Source organism: Homo sapiens, chromosome 7 (genome assembly GCF_000001405.40).
Source record: "Homo sapiens chromosome 7, GRCh38.p14 Primary Assembly".
Taxonomy (NCBI): Eukaryota; Metazoa; Chordata; class Mammalia; order Primates; family Hominidae; genus Homo; species Homo sapiens.
This window is the reverse complement of record NC_000007.14, coordinates 29,407,651-29,429,765: the sequence shown is the minus strand read 5'-3', so window position 1 is coordinate 29,429,765 and position 22,115 is coordinate 29,407,651. Positions and strand designations below refer to the sequence as shown.

At 42.9% G+C, this 22,115-nt stretch overlaps 1 protein-coding gene across 13 annotated transcripts in view, besides 2 other annotated features; it reads right to left on the bottom strand.

The window, feature by feature from the left end:
- CHN2 (chimerin 2) overlaps positions 1-22,115 on the bottom strand; it is a 367,738-nt gene that overhangs the window by 84,563 nt on the left and 261,060 nt on the right. The window lies entirely within an intron of this gene.
- Positions 12,150-12,649: an enhancer, noted in NCBI's record as "H3K4me1 hESC enhancer chr7:29456733-29457232 (GRCh37/hg19 assembly coordinates)". NCBI's record gives its function as "activates a minimal SCP1, AML or CMV promoter by ChIP-STARR-seq in naive H9 embryonic stem cells {active_cell/tissue: H9 hESC(naive)}" and the evidence as "EXISTENCE:reporter gene assay evidence [ECO:0000049][PMID:30033119]".
- Positions 12,650-13,151: an enhancer, noted in NCBI's record as "H3K4me1 hESC enhancer chr7:29456231-29456732 (GRCh37/hg19 assembly coordinates)". NCBI's record gives its function as "activates a minimal SCP1, AML or CMV promoter by ChIP-STARR-seq in naive H9 embryonic stem cells {active_cell/tissue: H9 hESC(naive)}" and the evidence as "EXISTENCE:reporter gene assay evidence [ECO:0000049][PMID:30033119]".

The following is a 22,115-nucleotide window of genomic DNA, read 5'->3' as shown; positions in this document are numbered from 1 at the left end:
CTAGTCACAACAAATATAAAAATCAAATTTCTACCTTATAATTTTATCTAAGTCTGTACTAGGACCCACTCAAGTCCTGCTCTCAAAGCTTTAGTATAAAACTCAATCACATTTTCCAGGGAACTGAACCTTGAACACATATTCCAGGGAACTGAACCTTGAAGTATGGGTGTGTGTGTGTGTCTGTGTGTGTGTAACTCATGCTTTGTTCCAAAAAGTGTAAGATGGGCAACCTGTGTGTTTCTTGTCAAAGGTCATCAATTTCTCAACTTATAAAGTAGATTTTATATAATTGGTATCAGATATCAAAGCGAACCAAAAACAAAACAAACAAAAGAGTCTCTAAATTTAGTTCCCACCATCTCTTACTGTTAGTTTCAAAGGAGATCAGAAATGTTTATAGACTATTTCACTCTTACTGCAATACCACCTGATTCTAAAAAGACTGATATCTCTTCTTTTACTTACTTGGTTAAATGCATAGCTATTTCAGATAAGTGTCTGCCAACTTCCAAATGACTAGGGCAAAAACTAGGCTCATTCTGGAATTTTCTGAAGTGGTCTGAGTATATGAAACCAAATGTTATTGCTCTTGGAGAACACTAAACAAGATACTTGTGATATGCATAGGGCAAGAGGCAATAAACCCTTGAAAACAGTCAACTACTGTAAAGATTGGGAGGCGGTGACCCATCCATTTCTGCTTTCTCTTGAGCAGTAGCCAGTTACAGTCCCCACTCAATGAAAATGCGAGTGGAAATGATGTGCTACTTCCAGGACTGGCCCATAGAAACCTCCCCAGTGCGGCCCAAAGAGACTCATTTTCCAGCTGACCAGAAAAGCCTCTCAGGATTTACATCATTGCATCTTCAACTCTGGTCTCAGAACCTCTTTATATTCTTTATTTAGGACCCCAAAAAGCTTTTGCTTCTGTGGGTTGCATCAGTTTATACTTACAAAGAAAACTTCAGAATATTAATACATTAAAAATACAAAAATATAAATTTTATAGGCCCTACGTGCTAATATAAGTAGTTTTTACATAAAAATTAACCATATTGGCTCAAACAAAAAAATGACAAAAGTAGCATTATGTCACGTTTTTCCAAATCTCTTTGTTATCTAACTTGATAGAAGACAGTTGGATTCTCACATCTGGTCCTATATTTCACTTGTTGTGTTGGTTGAAGAATATGAAAAAAAATCCAGGCTTTTGCAGAGACACAGTTGGAAAAGGAGGGCCTTGTGGAAATGGTCTGAATTTGAAATGGTCCCAGGGAACCCAGGGTTCTTGGATCTACTTTGAGAGCCAGTGATTTAGAGAGAGAGCCATAGGATGTTAGGAGTCTGGGTTCTTAAATGACCACAAACAATGCAACCCAACCAGAAACATCCCCATTGGACCATGATGCAAGTGGGAAATGACCTTTGACTGCATTAAGCCACTAAGATGTGGGAATGTATGTGTTATAGCATCTGGCATTATTCTAATTAAAATGCTTACTCATGTGGTGGTAACCCTGTGCCAGGTCTGTTTAAGCACTCTACTAACTCATTCACTCCTCTCAACAATCCTGCCAAGTTGTTGCTATCATAGTCCCCATTTTAGAGATGAGGAAACTGAGGCAGAGAGAGATTAAGTGAATATCCAAAGTCACACAACTAGTAAACGAGTTTAGCTAGCTCCAGAGTTTGTGCTTCCAAGTGCTCCCAATTACTTTGCCATGCTGCCTATAACCTTACCCAAATATTTCTCATCACCATCTTGCACCACCTATTCCAAACATGTCACATAAACATGAATAAAAAATGGCCGGATGCGGAGGTTCAAACCTATAATCCCAGCACTTTGGGAGGCTGAGGCGGGTGGATCATGAGGTCAAGAGATCGAGACCAACCTGGCCAACACGGTGAAACCCTGTCTCTACTAAAAATACAAAAATTATCTGGGCATGGTGGTGCATGCCTGTAGTCCCAGCTACTCAGGAGGCTTAGGCAGGAGAATTGCTTGAACCCAGGAGGCGGTGGTTTCAGTGAGACAAGATCGCGCCACTGCACTCCAGCCTGGCAACAGAGTGAGACTCTATCTCAAAAAAAAAAAAAAAAAAAGAATAAAAAATATACACTTGAACTAATAGCTTGCTTGGTCAACAGATATATGAGTAGCAACCAGTTTGGATGGGAGTTGGTAGCGGATAAACAGGAGAAATGCAGTTACCAAAGACTATGGAAGCGAGGTAGCAGAGTGGACAGAGGATGTGGTAGGCAGAATTTCAGATGCCCCCTATGACCTTTGACACCTAAAGTTACTCCCCTGATTATGCCATGTGACATCATGTTACATGATTATGTTATACGGTAAAAGGGATTCTGCAGATGTAATTAGTCGACCTAAAGACAGGGATGTGATCTAGGTGGATAATCATGAATCCTTTATTATTTATTTATTTTGAGACAGTCTTACTCTATCACCCAGGCTAGCAGTGCAGTGGCACAATCTCAGTTCACTGCAACCTCTGCCTCCCAGGTTGAAGAGATTCTTGTGCCTCAGCCTCCCACGTAACTGGGATTACTGCATGTGCACCATACCCAACTAATATTTGTATTTTTAGTAGAGAAACAGCTTCCCCATGTTGGCCAGGCTGGTCTCGAACTCCCGACCTCAAGTGATCCACCCACCTTGGCTTCCCAAAGTGCTGGGATTATAGGCATGAGCCACTGCACCCAGCCAGATAATCATGAATCCTTTATAAGCAGAGAGTTTTCTCCAGCTGTGGGCAGAAGGAGAAGTCAGAGAGATTAAGAGTGTGAAAAAGACTTGACACTGGCAGATGGACGTGATGACGGAGGGACCATGTGAGAAGGAAGATGGGAGCCACCGGGAGCAATGGCCAGTCCCCAGCGGACAGCCAGCAAGGAAGTAAGGAGCTCATATCTACAAACTCAAGGAAATGAATCCAGCCAATAACTTGCATGAGATTGGAAGTGCATTCCTCCCCAGAGCACTCAGATAAGAGTCCGCCTGGTCCATGCCTAATTGGGCCTTGTGATACTCTGAGTGGAGAACCTGGCTGAGTCTGCTGGACTTCTGACCTACAGAACTGAGTGAACATCTGAGTGCTGTTTTAACCTGTTAAGTTTATGGTAATTTGTTACACAGCAATAGAAAACTAGTAGTGAAGGTAACTCCAGAGAGACTGGATATGTCTCATGTCATTTTTTAAGCAAGAATGACTTTGCTAGGGTTAAAGGTCATGGAAGGAATCTAGGGGCAGTTGTCACTACTTCAAGCAACTAATGGCAAATAACCCTAAATGCCAGCAAGTTCTCCTATACAAACAAAAATAAATACGTAAAAGAAACTCAAATCACACATTTCCTTATAAATATTTCCACTTTACCACTGGCAACTTTAAACTACTAGTCCATAATTGTTTATTATTAACCATATAAAAGGTAAGATATTTCTGAAGGCAACATTTCTGATGCAAAAATCCCAGTGTCCTACAATCCATTAACCTCTCTTGCAGTCCACTCTTTTTTTTTTTTTTTTTTTTTTGAGACAGAGTCTCGCTATCACCCAGGCTGGAGTGCAGTGGCAGGATCTCGGCTCACTGCAGCCTCCACCTCCCGAGCTCAAACAATTCTCCTGCTTCAGCCTCCAGAGTAGCTGGGATTACAGGCATGCCTCACCATGCCCAGCTAATTTTTTTATTTTTAGTAGAGACCAGGTTTCACCATGTTGGCCAGGCTGGTCTTGAACTCCTGACCTCATGATCCATCCGCCTTGGCCTCCCAAAGTGCTGGGATTACAGGTGTAAGCTACCACACCCGGCCCACAGTCCACTCTTAAAAAGAAGTTCTGGATAAGTCCCAAGAGTTAAATACCACATTCATGCACACACCCTGTAAGATATGTACAGCAAATTCTCAGGGTTTTAATTGTTTTATATCAGTACAAATTAATTTATTTCAAGGGAGACATATACATGTATTTGAAAGTAAATTATATCAATATAATAATTTATTTTTATATACAGTATTGATCTTCCCTTAAAAAAATCATAGCCTCCTTACAATATGATAAGAAGTAGAAAAAATAAGATTAAACCAGGGGAAAAGTCAGAACACCTACCCGAATACCCCACTTCTGCTACAGTTAGGTCTAAAGTTCCTAGAAGCTAAAGAAGATTCTTAGGATCCATAAGATAAGTGGAAACCAGCTTCTAAGAAGAATTTTTCTCAGGACTCTTGGAGAAGTCTCTTTTATGGACTGTATTACTCAGTACAGGCTAGGTCATGCTGCAGGGTCAAAAGATCCCAAAACCTGAGTTTCTTGTATCTACCAAGATCTACATCTCAATCATGCTCCATGTCCTCTGTTCCTCAGCTGGGGGTCTGCTCCGTGTCTCCTCCCTCCGGGACTCAGCTGGCAGCACCCACCATCTTGGATGCTGCTGATTGCAGTAGTGGGAGGAGAAGACAGCTCTGGGCATCTTGCACAGGCAGACAATGCACTCATCTGGAAATCTACATCATCTCCTTTCATACTTTACTGGTCTGAAGTGCCATATGGCCTCACCCAACCGCAGGGGGGCTGGGTCTTTCATCCTATCATTGCTAGAGGGACAGCGAACGAGTGAGATCTCTCAATCAACACCAATGGCTGTCATAGAGATGGTTGTTAAGGGTGTGAAACAGTCCACATCACAATCAACAGTGTGTGAGTCACCAACATCCACTGCTTGTCAAATCTCTTGATGCAGGTGCAAAGCACCAAGCCAAAGCTTGGTCAGGTAAATACTATAGTAGGTGGGGCCAGAATCACAAGCTCCAGGATGCAGCTTTGTCAGCCTTGATTAATGTAAAGACAAAATCCTCCAGGAATAGGCCTCCAGGGGCCAGAGGGTAAAGGAGGTGAGGGAGGGTGGCTGTCTGACCAGACTGTGCTGAACTGCAAAGCACCTGCCCCATCTGAAGGCAGCGCGGTGGACGAGGCAGTACTTAAACTCTGGCTAAATTGGTTGCCATATGAGGCTGTGAACTTTGGCCTAACAGATTTTTTTTAAAAAAGAGAAACTAGAAATCCAAATGTTTGTAAAATCTCCAAAATTAAAAATATTTTTAAAAACAATGTACGAACCAGTCAAAACATGTCTGTCAGCCAGATGTGGCCTGTGCACTGCCAATTCATGGAGAAAGTCTAAGTTGCTGACTATTTAGAGAGTCAACAGTTGTGACAATTGACTGAGCAGAAGGTAGTGCTGATGTTCCCTTGGGGGAGGCCACCGAAAGTGGGATCTCACCTAACTCCGACAGGGGAAGTGAAAGCAAATGCCATCTTGTTTGTGGTCCTCATATTGAAATCACTGCTGAAGATGTCCTGGTTTAATAGGGACCAAATTCCTATTTAAAAAAAAACTGGGGAGATCAAGGGTCTTCCCTATGTGTTTCTCTACTATGTCCCCGGCATCTTGAACAAACCCATAAATGGAAGGTACTCAATAAAGATATGTTAAAGCAATGTGGGAGGTTGCATGGAACTAATTTAAAAACTATTTCTGTAGAACATGTCTGACGGCCTCTATTTCACCCAGGGACACCAAAAAATAACTTCTTCTTTAGGACTTTCTGGACAACTCTAAATCACTTACTTTGAATAATACTTCAGTGCTAAACAATGGAACTCTACTATAGTGGGTTTTCCGCCCTATAAACAAACAATTTCTATAGTGGCAAATTAGGCAACCTCATGTTGTCCCCAAGTAGCCCACCATGAGTGGGAGGCAGAAGAATGGTCCTTCCCTTGCAGCTATGAGTGGCAAGGACGTGGCACTGAGAGGTAGCCGCCAGGTAAGACCTGGCATTTGAGCCAAAAAGGATGCAGCTACAAATGGGGCATGGACTACAAACCAGCCTGCGACCAGGATATGGGATGTTTCAATGGATTCTGGCACAGAGAGATGACAACTCCTGAAGTCCCATGGAAAGGAGACGTAAGCCCAGGGGGAAGTGGGGAGAGGGAATCCCTGAACTGGCTGAATTTACTCTAAATTGACAAAGACTATGATATTGCCATTAGGCAGAATGGAAGCTTGAGATGGAAATTAAAATGAATTAAAAAGAAAATAAAGTGGCTACTTTCCACTTCCAGTTTTAGCCTGAGATTTCGTCCTTCCTGGAGAACCGTTGCTGGCCAGGTTTTCTGGGAAGCAGATTCCAAGGCCAGTGGCATGCACAGGATGCAAGATTGGGCAGGGGGAGGTATGGCAAGGCAGTCTCAACAAAAACCCCAGCTGACCCCAGGGAATTCTGAAGTGTGGCTGGTCCTTCAGACTTGTCCCAAATTGCAGCAAAGAAGCTGAGCTTTTATACCCTCAGGTTACACAGTCACTGGATGTGGGCTTTGGACAACACAGCTTCCTTCACCTGGGGGCGTCTGCCTGCAGCCTGCCCAGCTGCTGGGGGAATGAGTCTTCAGTCCTGCGGGGTGCAGGGGCAGTGCATTCCAGCACCCACTGATTGTCAGGGGAGACAAGTCTGGCCATCACTGGGCTGGGACATAAGCATGAAATAAACGTCCCCGTCATTTCCTTCTTTTCTCCACCCTGGGTGCTAACATTCTATGAATCTGGGAATTGAAAGCATTTCCTTGGTGTTCCTAATTCAGTTGAAATCTTTTCTATAGCAATTTATATAACGCTTTGATAGGCAAGGTTTGGTACGAACAGGCCAAAGTCAAAAGCAGCCTGAAGAAGGAAGTAGAATTAACAAGTCAAGTATGTAAAAAGAGCTGTAACAGTGTAAGTTACGAAGCACACCCCTAAACATGGAAGCTTTTTCTCTATTTTTCATTTGCATTTGCCCCACTTCTCCCAAAGTGTGTTTCTCAGAACATTAGTTTGAGAGATGTCCAGCACTGAAAGCTTTCCATGGGCAGATAAAAGTGGGAACCACTCAGCTTCCAGCCCCTCTGGGAGATTTCTGGGGTAAGCTAGCCCACCGAGAAGTCCTATGAAAAAGAAACCTGGTTAGCTTTGTAAGATGCAAATTTATCTGACCACAGGTAATAGCCCTGACATCTCGTAGAAATACCACATGATTCCAAAGAGTTTATTTATGTAAAGCAAGCAGTTTACTAATTTGTTTTGCTTTTCTAAGTAAATACTCCTTTTTCAAAACATCAGCAACTGCTTCTCTAAGTATATACATATATTTAATTTGTGAAGGAAAATCTCAGCTATGGCTACTTTGCTCAGAGAGTGGCCAGGGAGAGAGGCCGTCTATTAGATCTGGAAAATGACTTTAAAATTTGACCTTGATCATGCAGGAAACATCACAGTCAGAGACTTCATTTTTTAACCATGACTCTGGAACTACCTTAAAAACTAGTAGTATACCAGTGGCTGGAATTGATAGCACACCTGGCGGGTGCCGGCTGCTGCACCTGTGTGTATTTGACATCCATCAGGTCACTCAAAGGGCTGCTTAAAGCTCAGGCTGAAAGAGGTTCCACGCCCAACCTTCCATCATTCTTTTAAAAAAGATCCATTATAATAAAAAGTGCTAAAGTCATCCTTAAAATTAACACACTTGACCCGGAAGAGAAAGTCATTAAAAAAATCCTCACTTGGAAAACTAACACAAATACATGAATTCTGACCATGTATACTTGCTAATTTAAACAGAGTACAGATATTTCAAAGGAGAATGTTACATTTTTCTATTATAGCAGGGAATTTTATGTCCCTATGTGGCATAAAAATATACCCATATTCGGTGATTCCCATGTTAATAGTCACCAAATATGTGACTGGAAGTTCTGTGCATAGCTTGCCTGACAGCATTTCAGTAGGAAACGCTGTCTGCTTTCTTCAAGTCCCTTAAATCTTCCCCTCTGAGAAAATCACAATATATATGGGCCGGTGTTCAAATAGCTTCTTAATGTGGCCATGGCAAGGATGGGGGTGCTCTCATACAAACCATCGGCCAGCACCTTCCTGTGTGACTTACACTCACAGGCATGTGGTTGCCTTCATGGACATTCACGTACATTCTATCTCAGACGTTTATGAGCCCTTCTCTCACTTTCTCCTCAAACAGCTATTCTTAATTTTCAGCTCACCTTCTCTGAGCTAGAATGTTCCTGCCAAAAGAAGTCATTGGATGAATCCCTTTGGAGATGAAGAAATAAAGCAGGAGGAAGTGCAGGCATCAAGGAGCTTTGGTTGTCCCAATAGTCACTTCTCTTATGTGTGGTTAGGGCGGCAGGTGCAAGACTACTTGAAACCCAGTCGTTTTTAGCCAGTAGCCTCACATTCCTCTGTGCACAGAACTTTTTACCAGCTCTGCCTTCAGTTTTACTTCCTTCCAGAGCCGTTTCCCTGAGGACACTTCTGAGAGGCACTAAAGTAGCCCAAAGGCAGGAAATGGGGGGTAATTTTTAATTTGGGGAGTCTGCCCTTGGGTAGGCTGAAGATCTGAACAGTCCCAGTGCGGCTGACTCTGTTGCTGACTCTCAGACAGGCTGGCTTCAGATCAACCTCTGGTGCTGGGCAAGAGAAATGAACTTGAGTTGACCTTCATTGAAAGTACAAGAAAGGTGTTGGTACTATCTGCTTCTCTAGATTGAGTTTTTCTTTCTAAATTTAGTTGTGGTTTAAAAACCCATATAGCCGGACATGGTGGCTCACGCCTGTAATCCTAGCACTTTGGAAGGCTGAGCCGGGTGGATCACCTGAGCTCAAGATCAGCCTGGCCAACATGGCGAAACCCCGTCTCTACCAAAAATACCAAAATTAGGTGGTGGGTGCCTATAATCCTAACTACTCAGGAGGCTGAGGCAGAAGAATCGCTTGAACCTGGGGGGCAGGGGTTGCAGTGAGCCAAGATGGCACCACTGTACCCCAGCCTGGGCAAAAGAGCAAAACTCCATCTCAAAAAAAAAAAGAAAGAAAAGAAGAAAAAACAACCCATATAATCTAAAATTTATCATCTTAACTGTTTCAAGTGTACAGTTCAGTAATGTTAAGCATACTCACATTGTTGTACAATTGATTTCCAGAACTTTTTCATCTTGCAAAACTAAAACTTGTTGAACAATTCCCCATTTCCTTCTCCCCTCAGCCCTTGACAACCATTCTGCATTTCACATTCTGTTGCTGTGAATATGACTGCTTTAGATACCTCATATTAAGACAGTATTTGTCTTAGTATAAACAAAGATTCTTAGACAGAATATGTCTGACATATTTCACTTAGCATAATGTCCTCAAAGTTCATCCATGTTACAGCACAGGACAGGGTTTCCTTCCTTTTGAAGCTAAAGCTAAAGTATGTTCCACTGCATGTCTATACTACATTTTCTTTATTCATTCATCCATCCATAGACACTTGAGTTGCTTCTACCTCTTGGCTATTGAGAATAATACTGTTATGAACATGGGTATACAAATTTCTCTTTGAGATCCTGCTTTCAATTCTTTTGGCTATATACCCAGAAGTGGAATTGTTAGATCATATGGTGATTCTATTTTTGTTTCTTTGAAGAACTGCCATATTGTTTTCCATAGCAGCTGCACCATTCTACATTCTCAGCAGCAATGCACAAGGCTTCCAATTTCTCCACATCCATACCAACACTTGTTACTTTTTTTTTTAATTGTAGCTATCCTAATAGGTGTGAGATAATTTTTTTTTTTTTTTTGAGATGGAGTCTCACTCTGTCACCTGGGCTGGAGTGCAGTGGCATGATCTTGGCTCACTGCAACCTCTGCCTCCTGGGTTTGAGCAATTCTTCTGCCTCGGCCTCCCGAGTAGCTGGGATTACAGGTGCGTGCCACCATGCCTGGCTAATTTTTGTATTTTTAGTAGAGACGGGGTTTCACCATGTTGGCCAGGCTGGTCTGGAACTCCTGGCCTCCCAAAGTGCTGGAATTACAGGCATGAGCCACTGCACCCGGCCGGTGTGAGATAATATTTCCTTGTGGTTTTCATTTGCATTTCCTTAATGATTAATGATGTAGAGCATCTTTTCATATGCTTGTTGGCCATCTGAGTATCATCTTTGGACAAATGTCAAGTCCTTTGCCCATTTTTAAATTGGGTTATTTACTTTTGTTGTTGTTGTTGTTGAGTTGTAGGAGTTTTTAAAAATACATTATGGATATTAAACCCTTATTAGATATATGATTTGCAATATTTTGTCCCATTCCATAAGTTGCCTTTTCACTTTGTTGATTGCATCCTTTGACACATAGAAAATTTTAAGTTTGATATTATCCTTTTTGTCTATATGTGCTTTTGTTGCCTGTGCTCTTGGTGTCACATCCAAGAAATCACTGCCAGCCCCAATATCATGGAGCTTTCCCCTATATTTTCTTCTAGGAGTTCTATAATTTTAGGTCTTATGTGTAGGTAGTTAATAAATTTAATGTTAGTGTATTTGGTGAAAAGTAAGAGTCCAAATTCATTCTTCTGCATGTGAATATCCAGTATTCCCAATACCTCTAGACTGAGTTTTAATCTGGTAGTAGATTCAGAACACTGTGCTAGGTGTAAATTGGTGGTGATTATTTCTAACTATCTAACTAACAATTAAACAAAGCCTTGAGGTGTCTACCCCAGAAAGTTGACTCTAAGTTTGCTAGAAACTTTATACACAGGCACACCCAAGACTGGCCTAACAGTTGTCAGTTCTTGGAAAATTTAAAAAAAGAACTGCCACCATGTGCCCACTGCATACTGGTACGCTGAGAAGTCATCCTGACTGGCCCTTCAAAATCCAGAATTTCAGTTCATCAGAATCCCTCTTATGGGCTTATTAATGAATATTCATGTTGCTGAGTTTCGCCAAGCACGAGGCTAGACTGGCAGAGCTACCAGATACATAGAGTGCTAATTGACACATCCTGTGGTTGTCAAATTTGTTTAAAAATACTTGCATTTTAAACACTTAAATTAGGCACGCCAAGGAAAAAAGCACCATCCTGGCAGGTCTGGTAGTTCCATGTTCCAAAATCGAGGGAGGAGACCACGAGTCCTGGTCTTTCCACCTCCCACCAATGAATCTTAGTGAGCTTAGCCCCTGGACAGAGGGAAACTGAGGGAAGTAGCAGCTAGGCTGTGGCCCAGAACACAATACTCAACGGGGTGTATGCTTTCGCTAAGCCCAGAGGGCAATCAGATAAGCCATGCTTCCAGATTTAAAAACAAAACAAAAAAAGAATTCATTTTCTGGACATCCACTCCTAACATATGAGCTTGTGTTTGCTGGGCTCAGCTAACTATGGAATTAGGATTTCTTTAAAGCATCCCAATAAAGGCACCTACCACTCCCCAGTCAAATAGTAATTTCTGGATCTCACAACTCTCCTGCAAGCCCCTCAGCAACTTTTCTGAAAATGCCAAGGACTCCATGTTTGGCATCATGCCTCCTCCCCGCGCTTCCGCGAGAAGTTTCCGCAGCTTCTGTTCCTGCTCCCTACTTGGGTGTCTGCCTGGTGTGGCTTACATTTACTTAGTTAGCTCCACTTCCACTCCAAAACATCCCATCTGAGGGAAAATGCATGAAACATACGAACGTGAGAACTTCCACGAAAGGACAAACTGTCTGCCTCTGAAGTCTGTCCGACGTGGAGGCTCATTTTGTCTTGGAAATAGCACCGTTCAAAACCAACAAGGCGCTCCAGCAATCCTTCATCTCTCCACTTGACTCAGCAGACTGTATGGATTTCTGGCACCTGAGTTACCTGCCAAGTGGGTGTGCTATTCTACAGATTCTTCAGAAGCGACTCTCCAGCCTCACATGTGCTTGTCCTAGGAGCTGCCATCTTCAAGCCAGGCCCCTAGCACGTGTCTTTACTATGAAGCTCTGAAGCACATGCTCAAGTTCCAAGGTTCTCTCAGGCAGGGGCCTCTCCGTGGCACCATCTACAATACCTTACTAGTATTTTTGCCTTAATTTTTTTTAAAGAGGGCCTTCCAGAGCATATAAACTGCAAGCTTAGTATCCACTCCTAGTGGACTGTATTCTAAAACTTGCAAACTGTGTTATTCTTACCAGGATTCATATACCTTCGTATTAAATAGATATTAGTTTGAACCACATGAAATTGCCTGATTTTTGCAAATCAAAAACTTATCAGGTATCAACAGTGGCATTACGGTTCAACCTAAATAACTTCTAGGTTTTCTGCCTAATGGATCTTTCTCTACTTTTGGCTAACACGGTGAAATCCCGTCTCTACTAAAAATACAAAAAATTAGCCGGGCGTGGTGGCGGGCGCCTGTAGTCCTAGCTACTCGGGAGGCTGAGGCAGGAGAATGGCGTGAACCCAGGAGGCGGAGCTTGCAGTGAGCGGAGATCGCGCCACTGCACTCCAGCCTGGGGGACAGAGCGAGACTCTGTCTTAAAAAAAAAAAAAAAAAAAAGGGTTACAGTAAAAAAATGTCACAAAGACAATGAGCAACCTGGGAAAATTCCTTCCTTCCTCCCTCTCTCTTCCTTTTCCTTTTTTCTTCCTTCCTTTTCTCAACAAATGTTGATGAAGTACCTTGGAAATACAAAAGCCCATTTGCTGCAGCAAGTCCTGCGGGGTCACAGAACTGAGTGAGGCGCAGCTCAGGACTGCGAGCAGCTGGGGCCCTGGCAGGGGAGCCAGAAGGAGAGGACGCGCTGCAGAGGTAGCTGGTATTTCGAAGAAGGTGCAGGTGAGATGCTACCCGGCGGCATGCAAAGGAAGGGAAGGAGGCTTAGGAGGGCTCAGCCACACAGCCACTGGCCCTGAAGCCCACGCTCTAACCACTGTGCAGCACCTCCTCTGCAGGGGAGATGCCTGCAGGGGCCAGCAAGGAGCTCCACAATGGGAGGAAATGTCGCATCAAAGCAATCACTACTTAGAGAACGCCTAAGGTGCAGTTTGCTTATATTCTATGAGAGTCAGTATAAAAATGCTGGAAATATACATATACATATACATACACATATACACGCATACATACATATGCATATGATTACAGATTACATCTAATTAATCACTGTCATTTAGCCTTACTTCTCCAGTTGCCTTATATACTTAACTGTGCTACTCTACTGCCCGGGCCAGCGGTTTCAAACTGTGGTTCCCGGACCAGCAACATCGGCTGTCTCCTGGGAAGCTGGGCCGCTGGTCACACCTACTGTACTAGAAACGATGGGAGAGGGCCTGGAACTCTGTGTACTAACAAACCTTCTACAGGATTCTCATGTACGCTAAAATTTGAGAACTACTGGACTTGAGCCAACATGATTAGCAGCCTCAACACTGCTGCCCTTTTTCACCCCATTTTAAAGTGTATACTCTGAGTTGGAAGAAAACCTTTGCTCTCTTAAGTAACAACATTTCCATTTCAATATCCTTTAAACTATTTCATTAGTAGATAACTTTTTCATAGCTTCTAAAGGTTAAGACTGTGAAGTTCAGGTTAATGAGTATTTTTTATTTTATGATAAAATTCAACAGAGATAATATTTGAAGTCCACAGCTTTTCTGAGAAAGGCATATACTACAGTTCTGTCTTTGCAGGTAGCAGGCAGAATGAAGAAAGAATGCAAACACGCTAATTCATTCATCACTTATTCCAAGTGTATGTTTAAGGAAAATGGCAGAGGGCTTTGCAGAATAGAAGGTTATGTCTTGAACACAGAAGCCCTGTAGGTTAACGCAGCTCTGTGGGGCCGCATTTATCCAACCCCGTGGAATAATGGGTTTCCTGCTTCCTCCCACTCTTCTCCCCAAACCCAGTAAAACTTACAAAAAACAATTTAACCAACTTAGGCCTTCAACACTTACAAGTCTAAGATGACAATTAGCTTTGGTAATAGTGTCATCATTTAAAAATGGAAAAGGCGGGCTTTTAAAATTTTGCCTACAGCAACTGGGTTTTGAAAGCAAAAATGCAGATGCCTCAATGTTACTGCATTGATGTCCCAGAGCCCCAGGCTCTGTCTCCAGCCCATCCTCTACCCTGCCACCAATGTATCCTTCTAAAAATCACACTGCAGGCAGCTCCTTAAGCCATTTGGGCATAAGATCCACACTTTGGAGACTACTTTATGTGGCCCTTCCCAAGCCCGCCCATCTCCAGCCTCCCCCCTCTCCAACCTGGCCATCTCCCTCCTCGCAGCCTTCCCCTCCACCAACTGTGTCCCGAGGCTGGCCCAACTACTCCCTTCCTTAGAAGGGCCTTCTCTGCCAGGCATGGCCTGTTTTGTTTTTGTTTTTGTTTTTAGGACTCCATTCGGGCTCTTCTGGCTATAGGAAACAGAAACTCCACCCAAAATAGCATAGAACAAAAAGAAAGAGAAATGTACCAGCACAGAAAACCAAGGTGGGAACTCCCCACTTGAGCCTCTCCAGAATGAAGCTCTTGGTTTAACACATTCTCCATCTCTAGCATCAGCTTTCTTCCATGGCTTCATTCTTTGATGTCTGACTCCCCAAGTGCCAGCCAGGTGGCCCCTGTCGCTCCGTGTTTATGTTCTGTGCCTTAGCAAGTCCAGGCAGAAAGAGTCCACTTCTTTCTTAATTCTTCCAGCAAAGACCCAGGAGCTGCCTTACTGAACCTATGTCACTGGCCCATCCCGAGCTAGTCGTTGTAAGTGCAATTGGCAGCACCGTGTTTCACACAGATTAGGGGCTCAATGAATATTTAATTATTATTAATTATTAATAGTTAAGCATGAATGAATTAATGAAAGAACACGCCGGTGGGGTGTGCTCAGTGCAATGAGAACTGTATCTAAGCTACAGAGAGGCAGCCAACTGAAGGTATAACCAAGGCAGGCTTGTGTAGGTCAGGGAAGACTGCAGGGAAGGATATGCCCAGGATTGGTCCACAAAGCATGGCAGGAGTTCCCCAAGTCAGGACAGGAGCCTGGGGAAGGCAATGGGGAGGGACATTGCAAAGAACTGGAAGATGCTGTGTAAAGGCTGAGAGGCATTACACTGGCTGTTGGGCTCAGAAAACTTGAATTGCTCTGTTTTGCCGGCCTCTTGGACACAGCTAGGGAGAGGGAGCAGCTGAGGTGAAGCGACGTGTGCATGCGTGTGTTGGGGGACAGGGTGACAAGAAAAGGGTCAGAAAAGGCCTTGCATGCCACACTGGGGTCAGGCGGTGGTCAATCTCAGGTGACCAGGAGCTCTTGAAGAGGCTTTCCTTCAAGCCAGGACAGCTGGCGGCAGGGTTTCAGCTCCCCTGCCCACTGGGTGGTCATGAAGAAGTTACTTCCACCGCTCCAATTCCCAACTCTCAGAGCCGTTGTGAGGACGGAAGAAGGTGACAAACTGAAAGCCACCCCTATAGCACGTGGTATGTGGTCAATACCCCGTGCGTGCTAGCACTTCTTCCTTTCCTTGTGAGTAGGTTGATTTTTACACCGAACTTACTGGAGGGGAAAGAAAATCCAATGCATTAAAATCTCCATGTATATCATTTTACAATCCCAGAGTTCGGGGGTGTTTCAAAGCTACACTGAGAGAGAGCTGGGTCAGGCATCACTTCCTAACCTTCAGGAGGGTAACATCAATTTCAGTTTCCTCTCATCTGAACTGACTCCATCATGACTGGAAGAAGTGAGACACATGCTTGTGTCTGAAGACTCACATTTCAGACTCATCACCTTGCGATATAGTAAAGGTATACAGAGCTTTATAGTATTGCCCAATCCTTTTCAAATTCATATAGCTCAAGGCTAAAAATGCACACAGAGATTGTTCTCTTAGAAATCACAGAGGCAGGCATGTGTGTAATGAACACATCTCTTCTCGAGGAATTCCCTCAGCCACACCTATTTCTTCATAAGAACAAATCAGTCCAGAGCAGAAGACGATTAGAATCAAGCCACAAGGACACTGAGTACCGATATTGGGAAGAGGAAAATAATTCCTAATATAACGCTTTGTTTAGAAGCTTTAAAATGAGACACACAGCAAATCTGCTCACTGTGTCAATGTGGTCCAGTGGAAAGTACAGCCTGTTCGAAGTCAGACGAGCCACCTTCTAGCAACTGGCTGTTCGTGAAATGACCCGCAAGTCACAAGTTCTACGACCCTGGGCAAATCGCCTGGCTTTCCCAAGCCCCGGGTTTCTTGTTTCTTTGTTGGAAGAGGAGGAACAATGAAGTTAAGGGTTGTCATGAAGCAGAATGAAATAATGTAGTTTATGATAGATTAAAAACAATGATATGCTTAATACATGTAATGTTCTTTCTAGGGGGAGTAATTGTAACTTTCCTAAAATCATTTGAGATTAACATAATAAAAGTCCCTTATATCATGAATTATTTTCATGGAATTTATATGTACTGTGGTAAAATATAACTGCTTTTACTCTGTTAAAGGTGTGTTGGGACACGCATAGCCCACAGTTCTGTGTCTTACTTCTAATCCTCAACTTGGGTATTAAAGTGTCTCTTGCAAATGACAGTGCTTTGACTTTTTAAATAATTTTTTAAACCAATGAGTCACTTGAGAACAATCAAAGTTGCATGTGTAAACTTTAACTTTCTCTTCTGATACTTGGACTTCATTAAGTTCATAAATGGGGACTTAGGAACAAAGTGAAATATTAACTTTGCGGGAACTTCAAAGTGATTGTGTATAAGGAGAGAGAAAACCAACAGGGGCATTTATAAACTATCATCATAAGACCCGGCCAGACATTTTTTTATTGCAAAATGAGTAATGCCAGTTCTGCAACCTGGTCCAGAGGCCATGAAAACAAACCAATGTAGCCCTGACAGTTTCATTTCCATTAACGGCAATGGGAATTATTCAGGGAACAAAATCCTTCTTCTTCCCACAGTTGATCCAGGACCCCACCCACCCACCCCTACAAATTCTTATAGGCCAAGCCTTTAATTCTGAAAGACTACAAATGGAACTTTGACCTTTCCTTCTTCAGAGTCTACAGGTTCCCAACTGCTCATCTGTTGTACCAATGATCTGAGAGATACCCCTTCCAACAGAGGGCTCTCGTGGCCACATCCAATGCTGCAAAAGGGGCCATGTTTCATCCCATTCTGTTAAAAAAGTTTCCCGGAAATATCACAAGTTGCTGAGAATCTGGTTTACCAGGTTCATTAAGACTCTTTAGTGTCCTGGCGCGGTGGCTCACGCCTGTAATCCCAGCACTTTGGGAAGCCAAGGTGGGCGGATCACGAGGTCAAGAGATTGAGACCGTTGTGGCCAACATGGTGAAACCTGTCTCTACTAAAAATACAAAAATTAGCTGGGTGTGGTGGTGTGAGCCCGTAGTCTCAGCTACTTGGGAGGCTGAGGTAGAAGAATCACTTGAACCCGGGAGATGAAGGTTGCAGTCAGCCAAGATGGCACCACTGCACTCCAGCCTGGAAACAGAGGGAGACTCCGTCTCCCAAAAAAAAAAAAAAAAAAAAAAAAAAAAGACTCTTTAGCAGAGCGCCTTAATCTTACTGAAATGCATTTAACTGTAAGAGGTCTACATATATATATGTTGTGGAGCCAGGAGGTAAAGGATGACGGCTGCATTCCAGCAGTGGCTTCTGGGTTATTTCCCATGTCTGCCTGGTAAACAAGATGCTACATTCCTACCCATTTCAGTAAACACTAGAGGTCCCCTTTTTCTGATTTAACACCACCATTTTAAAGAAGGGTAGTGTGGATTATTGGATTAAAATTAAAATGAACCTGAACTTGAATAGCTAAGCTTCCTCAGTAATGGTGACAAGTAAGGTGAGTGGGAATGAAGGACAGCAGAGGTGGCAGGGAGCTGACAGGTGGGTTCCAGTTCTTGTGGGGATGATAGCAGCTGCCGACTTAAATGCAGCACCAACATCTGCTTACCCAGCTCAAAGGCAAGGCAGCAATGAACTGCCAGCAGTACTGGAACATCCAGAGACGGGGGCGGGCTGAAGGGCAGCTCCGCGAGAAGCTCAGATCAGGCCTCAGGACTCAGCTTCTCTCTCCCCATCTCCAGGCTCTACTTTCTCCAGGCTCCATTCTCAGGCTCTATCGGGTGGCGGGAAGCCTTCAGCAGCCCAGGCTCTACTTCCTGCCTAATTGAGCCAAGCAGAAAGAGGGTGAAAGGCCTGGCTCCTGGAACTCACGGTAAAAGTCTGTTGTCTTCCCCTGGCTCTGACTTGACCACATGGTCACCCTTGAACCAACCACCCTAGCCAGGGACACGGGGTCCTTCGGCTTGGCCTTGAATCACAAATCCACCTCTGGGATTAGTGGGCAGATATGACTCCACCAGAAGCTCCTACACTGAGGTGGCTCTGGGTGGCAAAAATGACAGCTACTCACTCTGGGGGTGGGGTGGGGAGACTGCCACATCCTGATGAAATAGACACAAAGATGGTAGCTGGAGAAGCCCAGGAGAGGTAACAAAGAGGGTGATACCCAGTACGAGGCCAAAGAAGGAAAATAATAGGCTCTGCTAAAATTGTGTTTCCTCCTTCCAACCCTCCTTGTTCAATGTCACTTTGAGCTTTGAGTCTTGGTATTTCCTCTGTACGGAGAAGAGAATGAGACCCAGTCGGTGGCTCCTCATTGGCCATATATATCAGAATTGCACCTGCAGAACTGTTTCCTGATGACACAGGCCCTAGGCTTGTGTTGAAGTCTAAATTTAGGTTTGTGTACTTGGTGTGTAGTTGATGTTAAATAGTGATACACAGGTGTTTGGAGATAGAGAAATGTTTATTTGATCTGATTAAAGTAAGAAGGTGGGGAAGGCAAGATTTTAAAAATTTGTTTTAATAAAAAGTAGAAATGGGGAATTTTTAATGTGGCTAGGGAGTAAGGGAGGAGAGTTTAGGGATTTGAGGAGGAAAGTCTGTGTTTTTAAAGTTTTAGATAATATTTTAAATAACTAGAGCATTATATGTAACAGTCATTCTTTAAAAACTTCTCAAATTTATAAATCAAAAGTTCAACTTTTACTATGTCTCACTACTTTCAACTTTTTCTCCCCTTACAAAGGTCTAAAATAATAACACTCTCCTTCAACTTTTTCATCAACTCCTATAACTTTTTCCCTCCAGTTTCTTCAAAAACAAAAATACAAAAAAAGACAAACTCCCCTAATTAGAAAAACAAATCAAAAAAGTCAAGTATAATCTCACATCCCATACTCAACAAAATACCCAATTTAGGTGAGGGGCTAAGACTCCTCAAACAAGAGTCTCTATTTCAACGCTTACCAATTAAAAAACTAAGTGCCAATAGATGACCCACAGACATAATGCAAATATACTCTCCATTTCTCACCTCAAACCTATTTAATTAAAAAAAAACCTTTAATCAAGAGAACCCTAAATACTTATCCAAATTATTGTCTTTTATCTTTTTAACATATCATCCCACCTAGACTAATAAACAAACATTAATATTTTACTCACAGCCAAAAACCACCATATAATTACTAAAAAGACAAAAACAGCTCAATTTCACCTTAAAAATGAAAGTAATCACCCTAAATCTACCAACACTGTTCCTACGATTAAGCCCAACTAAAATATAAACAAGACACTACCCTGTTTTAAACATTATAAAAATTTTCTTCCAGAATAAATTATTTAAAAGTCCCATGATTAAAAAGCCTCGATGAAATTAAAAACATTCAACAACCCCAGAGGGATCCCTAAAATTAAAACTCATATAGACTCAGCCTGTTGTCCCCCCACCGCCTAGTGAGAGCCACTGGGAAGAGCTCTGAGGTCGTGCTCAGGGCAGGCGCTTGGTGGGTCAGGTCCAGAAGAATGCCTCCTCATCATAGCCTGCCCAGTCCCCATAGGTGTACAGCAGTCCCAGGTGACAGCATCATTTACCTCCTGCAGTCAAAGGTGATAAAAGTGGTGGGACAATTCCTCTCAAACACCACTCTGGAGATGTCAAAATATAAACATCTTGAAAAGCTGGGCTCTTCATCAAACTGTGGCCCACCAATGTTTGGGGATCCCCAAGATCCCTTTAGAGAGTCCATGATGTCAAAACTGATTTTATTACAGTAATTGCCTTCTGTGATTGACATTGCAACTAACCTTTAAGAAACTACCACTTGTTGAATTGTGGTCTAGTATATATTTTAAAGCCCACATTTACCTGAAAAGGCTATAAGAACACTCCTCTTTTTTCCAACTACACATCTGTGTGAGGCCAGACTTCTTCCTATACTTCAAATAAAACAATATATCCCAGGTTGAATACAGGAGCAGATGTGAGAAGCCAGCTGTCTTCTTTTAAGCCAGACACTAAAGAGATTTACAAAAATGTAAAAACAATGCCAATATTCTCATCACTTTTTTATTTGGAAAACAGTGTTATTTTTCACAAAAATATGTTATTCATACTAACACATAATAGGTTTATTACTATTATGTTGAAAGAATTAATAAATATTTTAGATTTTTCTATTTTACTTTCTAATACCATAAATATCAAGATTTAACCCACATTAACAGAAGCTCTTTGGGGTCCTCAGTAACTTTAAAGAGTATAGAGGGGTCCTGAGGCCGAGAAGTTTGAGCACTTTTGGACTAGAATTAGATTCCTGGGATGATTTTTACAAGTCCTAGGCCCGCAGAGCTGCCCACGTGCTTATGCAGAGAAGGAGCACAGGCTACAGAACAGACACCCCAAGCCACTGTGTAGCCTGATCTGTGCTATAAAACTTGAGGAAAGTGGGATGACTCAATGGATTCATTGCTGAAAAATTTGTTCTTGCACATTTTCACATCCGTTAGGTTTGGTCCTTTGTGTCATCAGCATGTAACTCTCCTTTCAGCCACAAGATGGCACTATTTGCATAGAAAATACTTTCTCGGGAGCCGTGTCTCTAAATTAGCTGTTTCCTAGAGAGATTTTGGATGGGGACAAGGAGGGTTTGGCGTTTGGCCCATCATATCCCTCCATACGCTGAATGTATTAGGATGACTTTCCTCTTCCGTTCCTCTTTGAAAACACCGATATTGAGGAACTGGTAAAAAGAGATTCTTTCTAATATCCACCCAAAGAAACCACTAGCTGACCCCTGAGAGAGGGACTAACTTTTCCTTGCCCCTTCATTAAATTCTTTAATCCCACTTCAGTTAATTGTTTCCCATCATTTATATTTCAGGCAATAATCTCGGGAAAGGAGTCATGGAAAGGGAGCAAAGCCAAACCCTGAACCAGCACAGGTAACTGTAGCCACCAGAGTTAACTGTGTGAAGAATGTTTCCCCAGAGGACTTCTCACGTGTTGTGTAAAAGTAGAGAAAGAAGGCTAGGGTCTAATTTACAACATAAAAGAGCCTCAGGAATATAAGAGGCATGGGAAGAAGTGAGACAGGTGTCCTTGAAAGAAAATGCTCCAAAATGTCTGATCACCTTTACTCTCGTCTCCCCTTCCATCTAACCCAGGTTCTCAAGCCCTGCACTTGACAATCACCTGAGGAGCCAAAAAAGACCGACAGGTGCCTTTCACCAGTGAAGACTTTGATTCCATAGGCAGGTGGGGTCAAACATGGGCATTTTTAATATATATTTTTTAATTTAATTTATTTTTTTTTTTTGATACTGAGTCTCACTCCGCCGTCCAGGCTGGAGTGCAGTGGTGTGATCTGGGCTCACTACAACCTCCGCCTTCTGAGTTCGGGTGATTCTCCTGTCTCAGCCTCCAGAGTAGCTGGGATTACAGGCATGTGCCACAGTGCCTGGCTAATTTTTTTGTATTTTTAGTAGAGATGGGGTTTCACCATGTTGGCCAGGCTGGTCTTGAACTCCTGACCTCAAGTGATCCGCCAGCCTCTGCCACCCAAAGTGCTGGGATTACAGGCATGAGCCACCAAGCCCGGCCATGGGCATTTTTTTAAAAGCTCCCAGAGTGAGTCCAACCTTCAGTCAGTTTGAGAACCACCAAGCCAACCAAATCAGCAATTGCTCAGACTGAGTGATAAATCCCAAATCATTAGGGAATTCTGGTTTAAAACAATGCTTGGCAAAACCCAGTCTCATGAGCGGATGTAATCTAAGTTAAATCCATTCTCACTGCATCCTATCCCACCCCATTTTATGACTGCGTGCAAGGGCAGCAAGTCGGCTGGTCAGCATC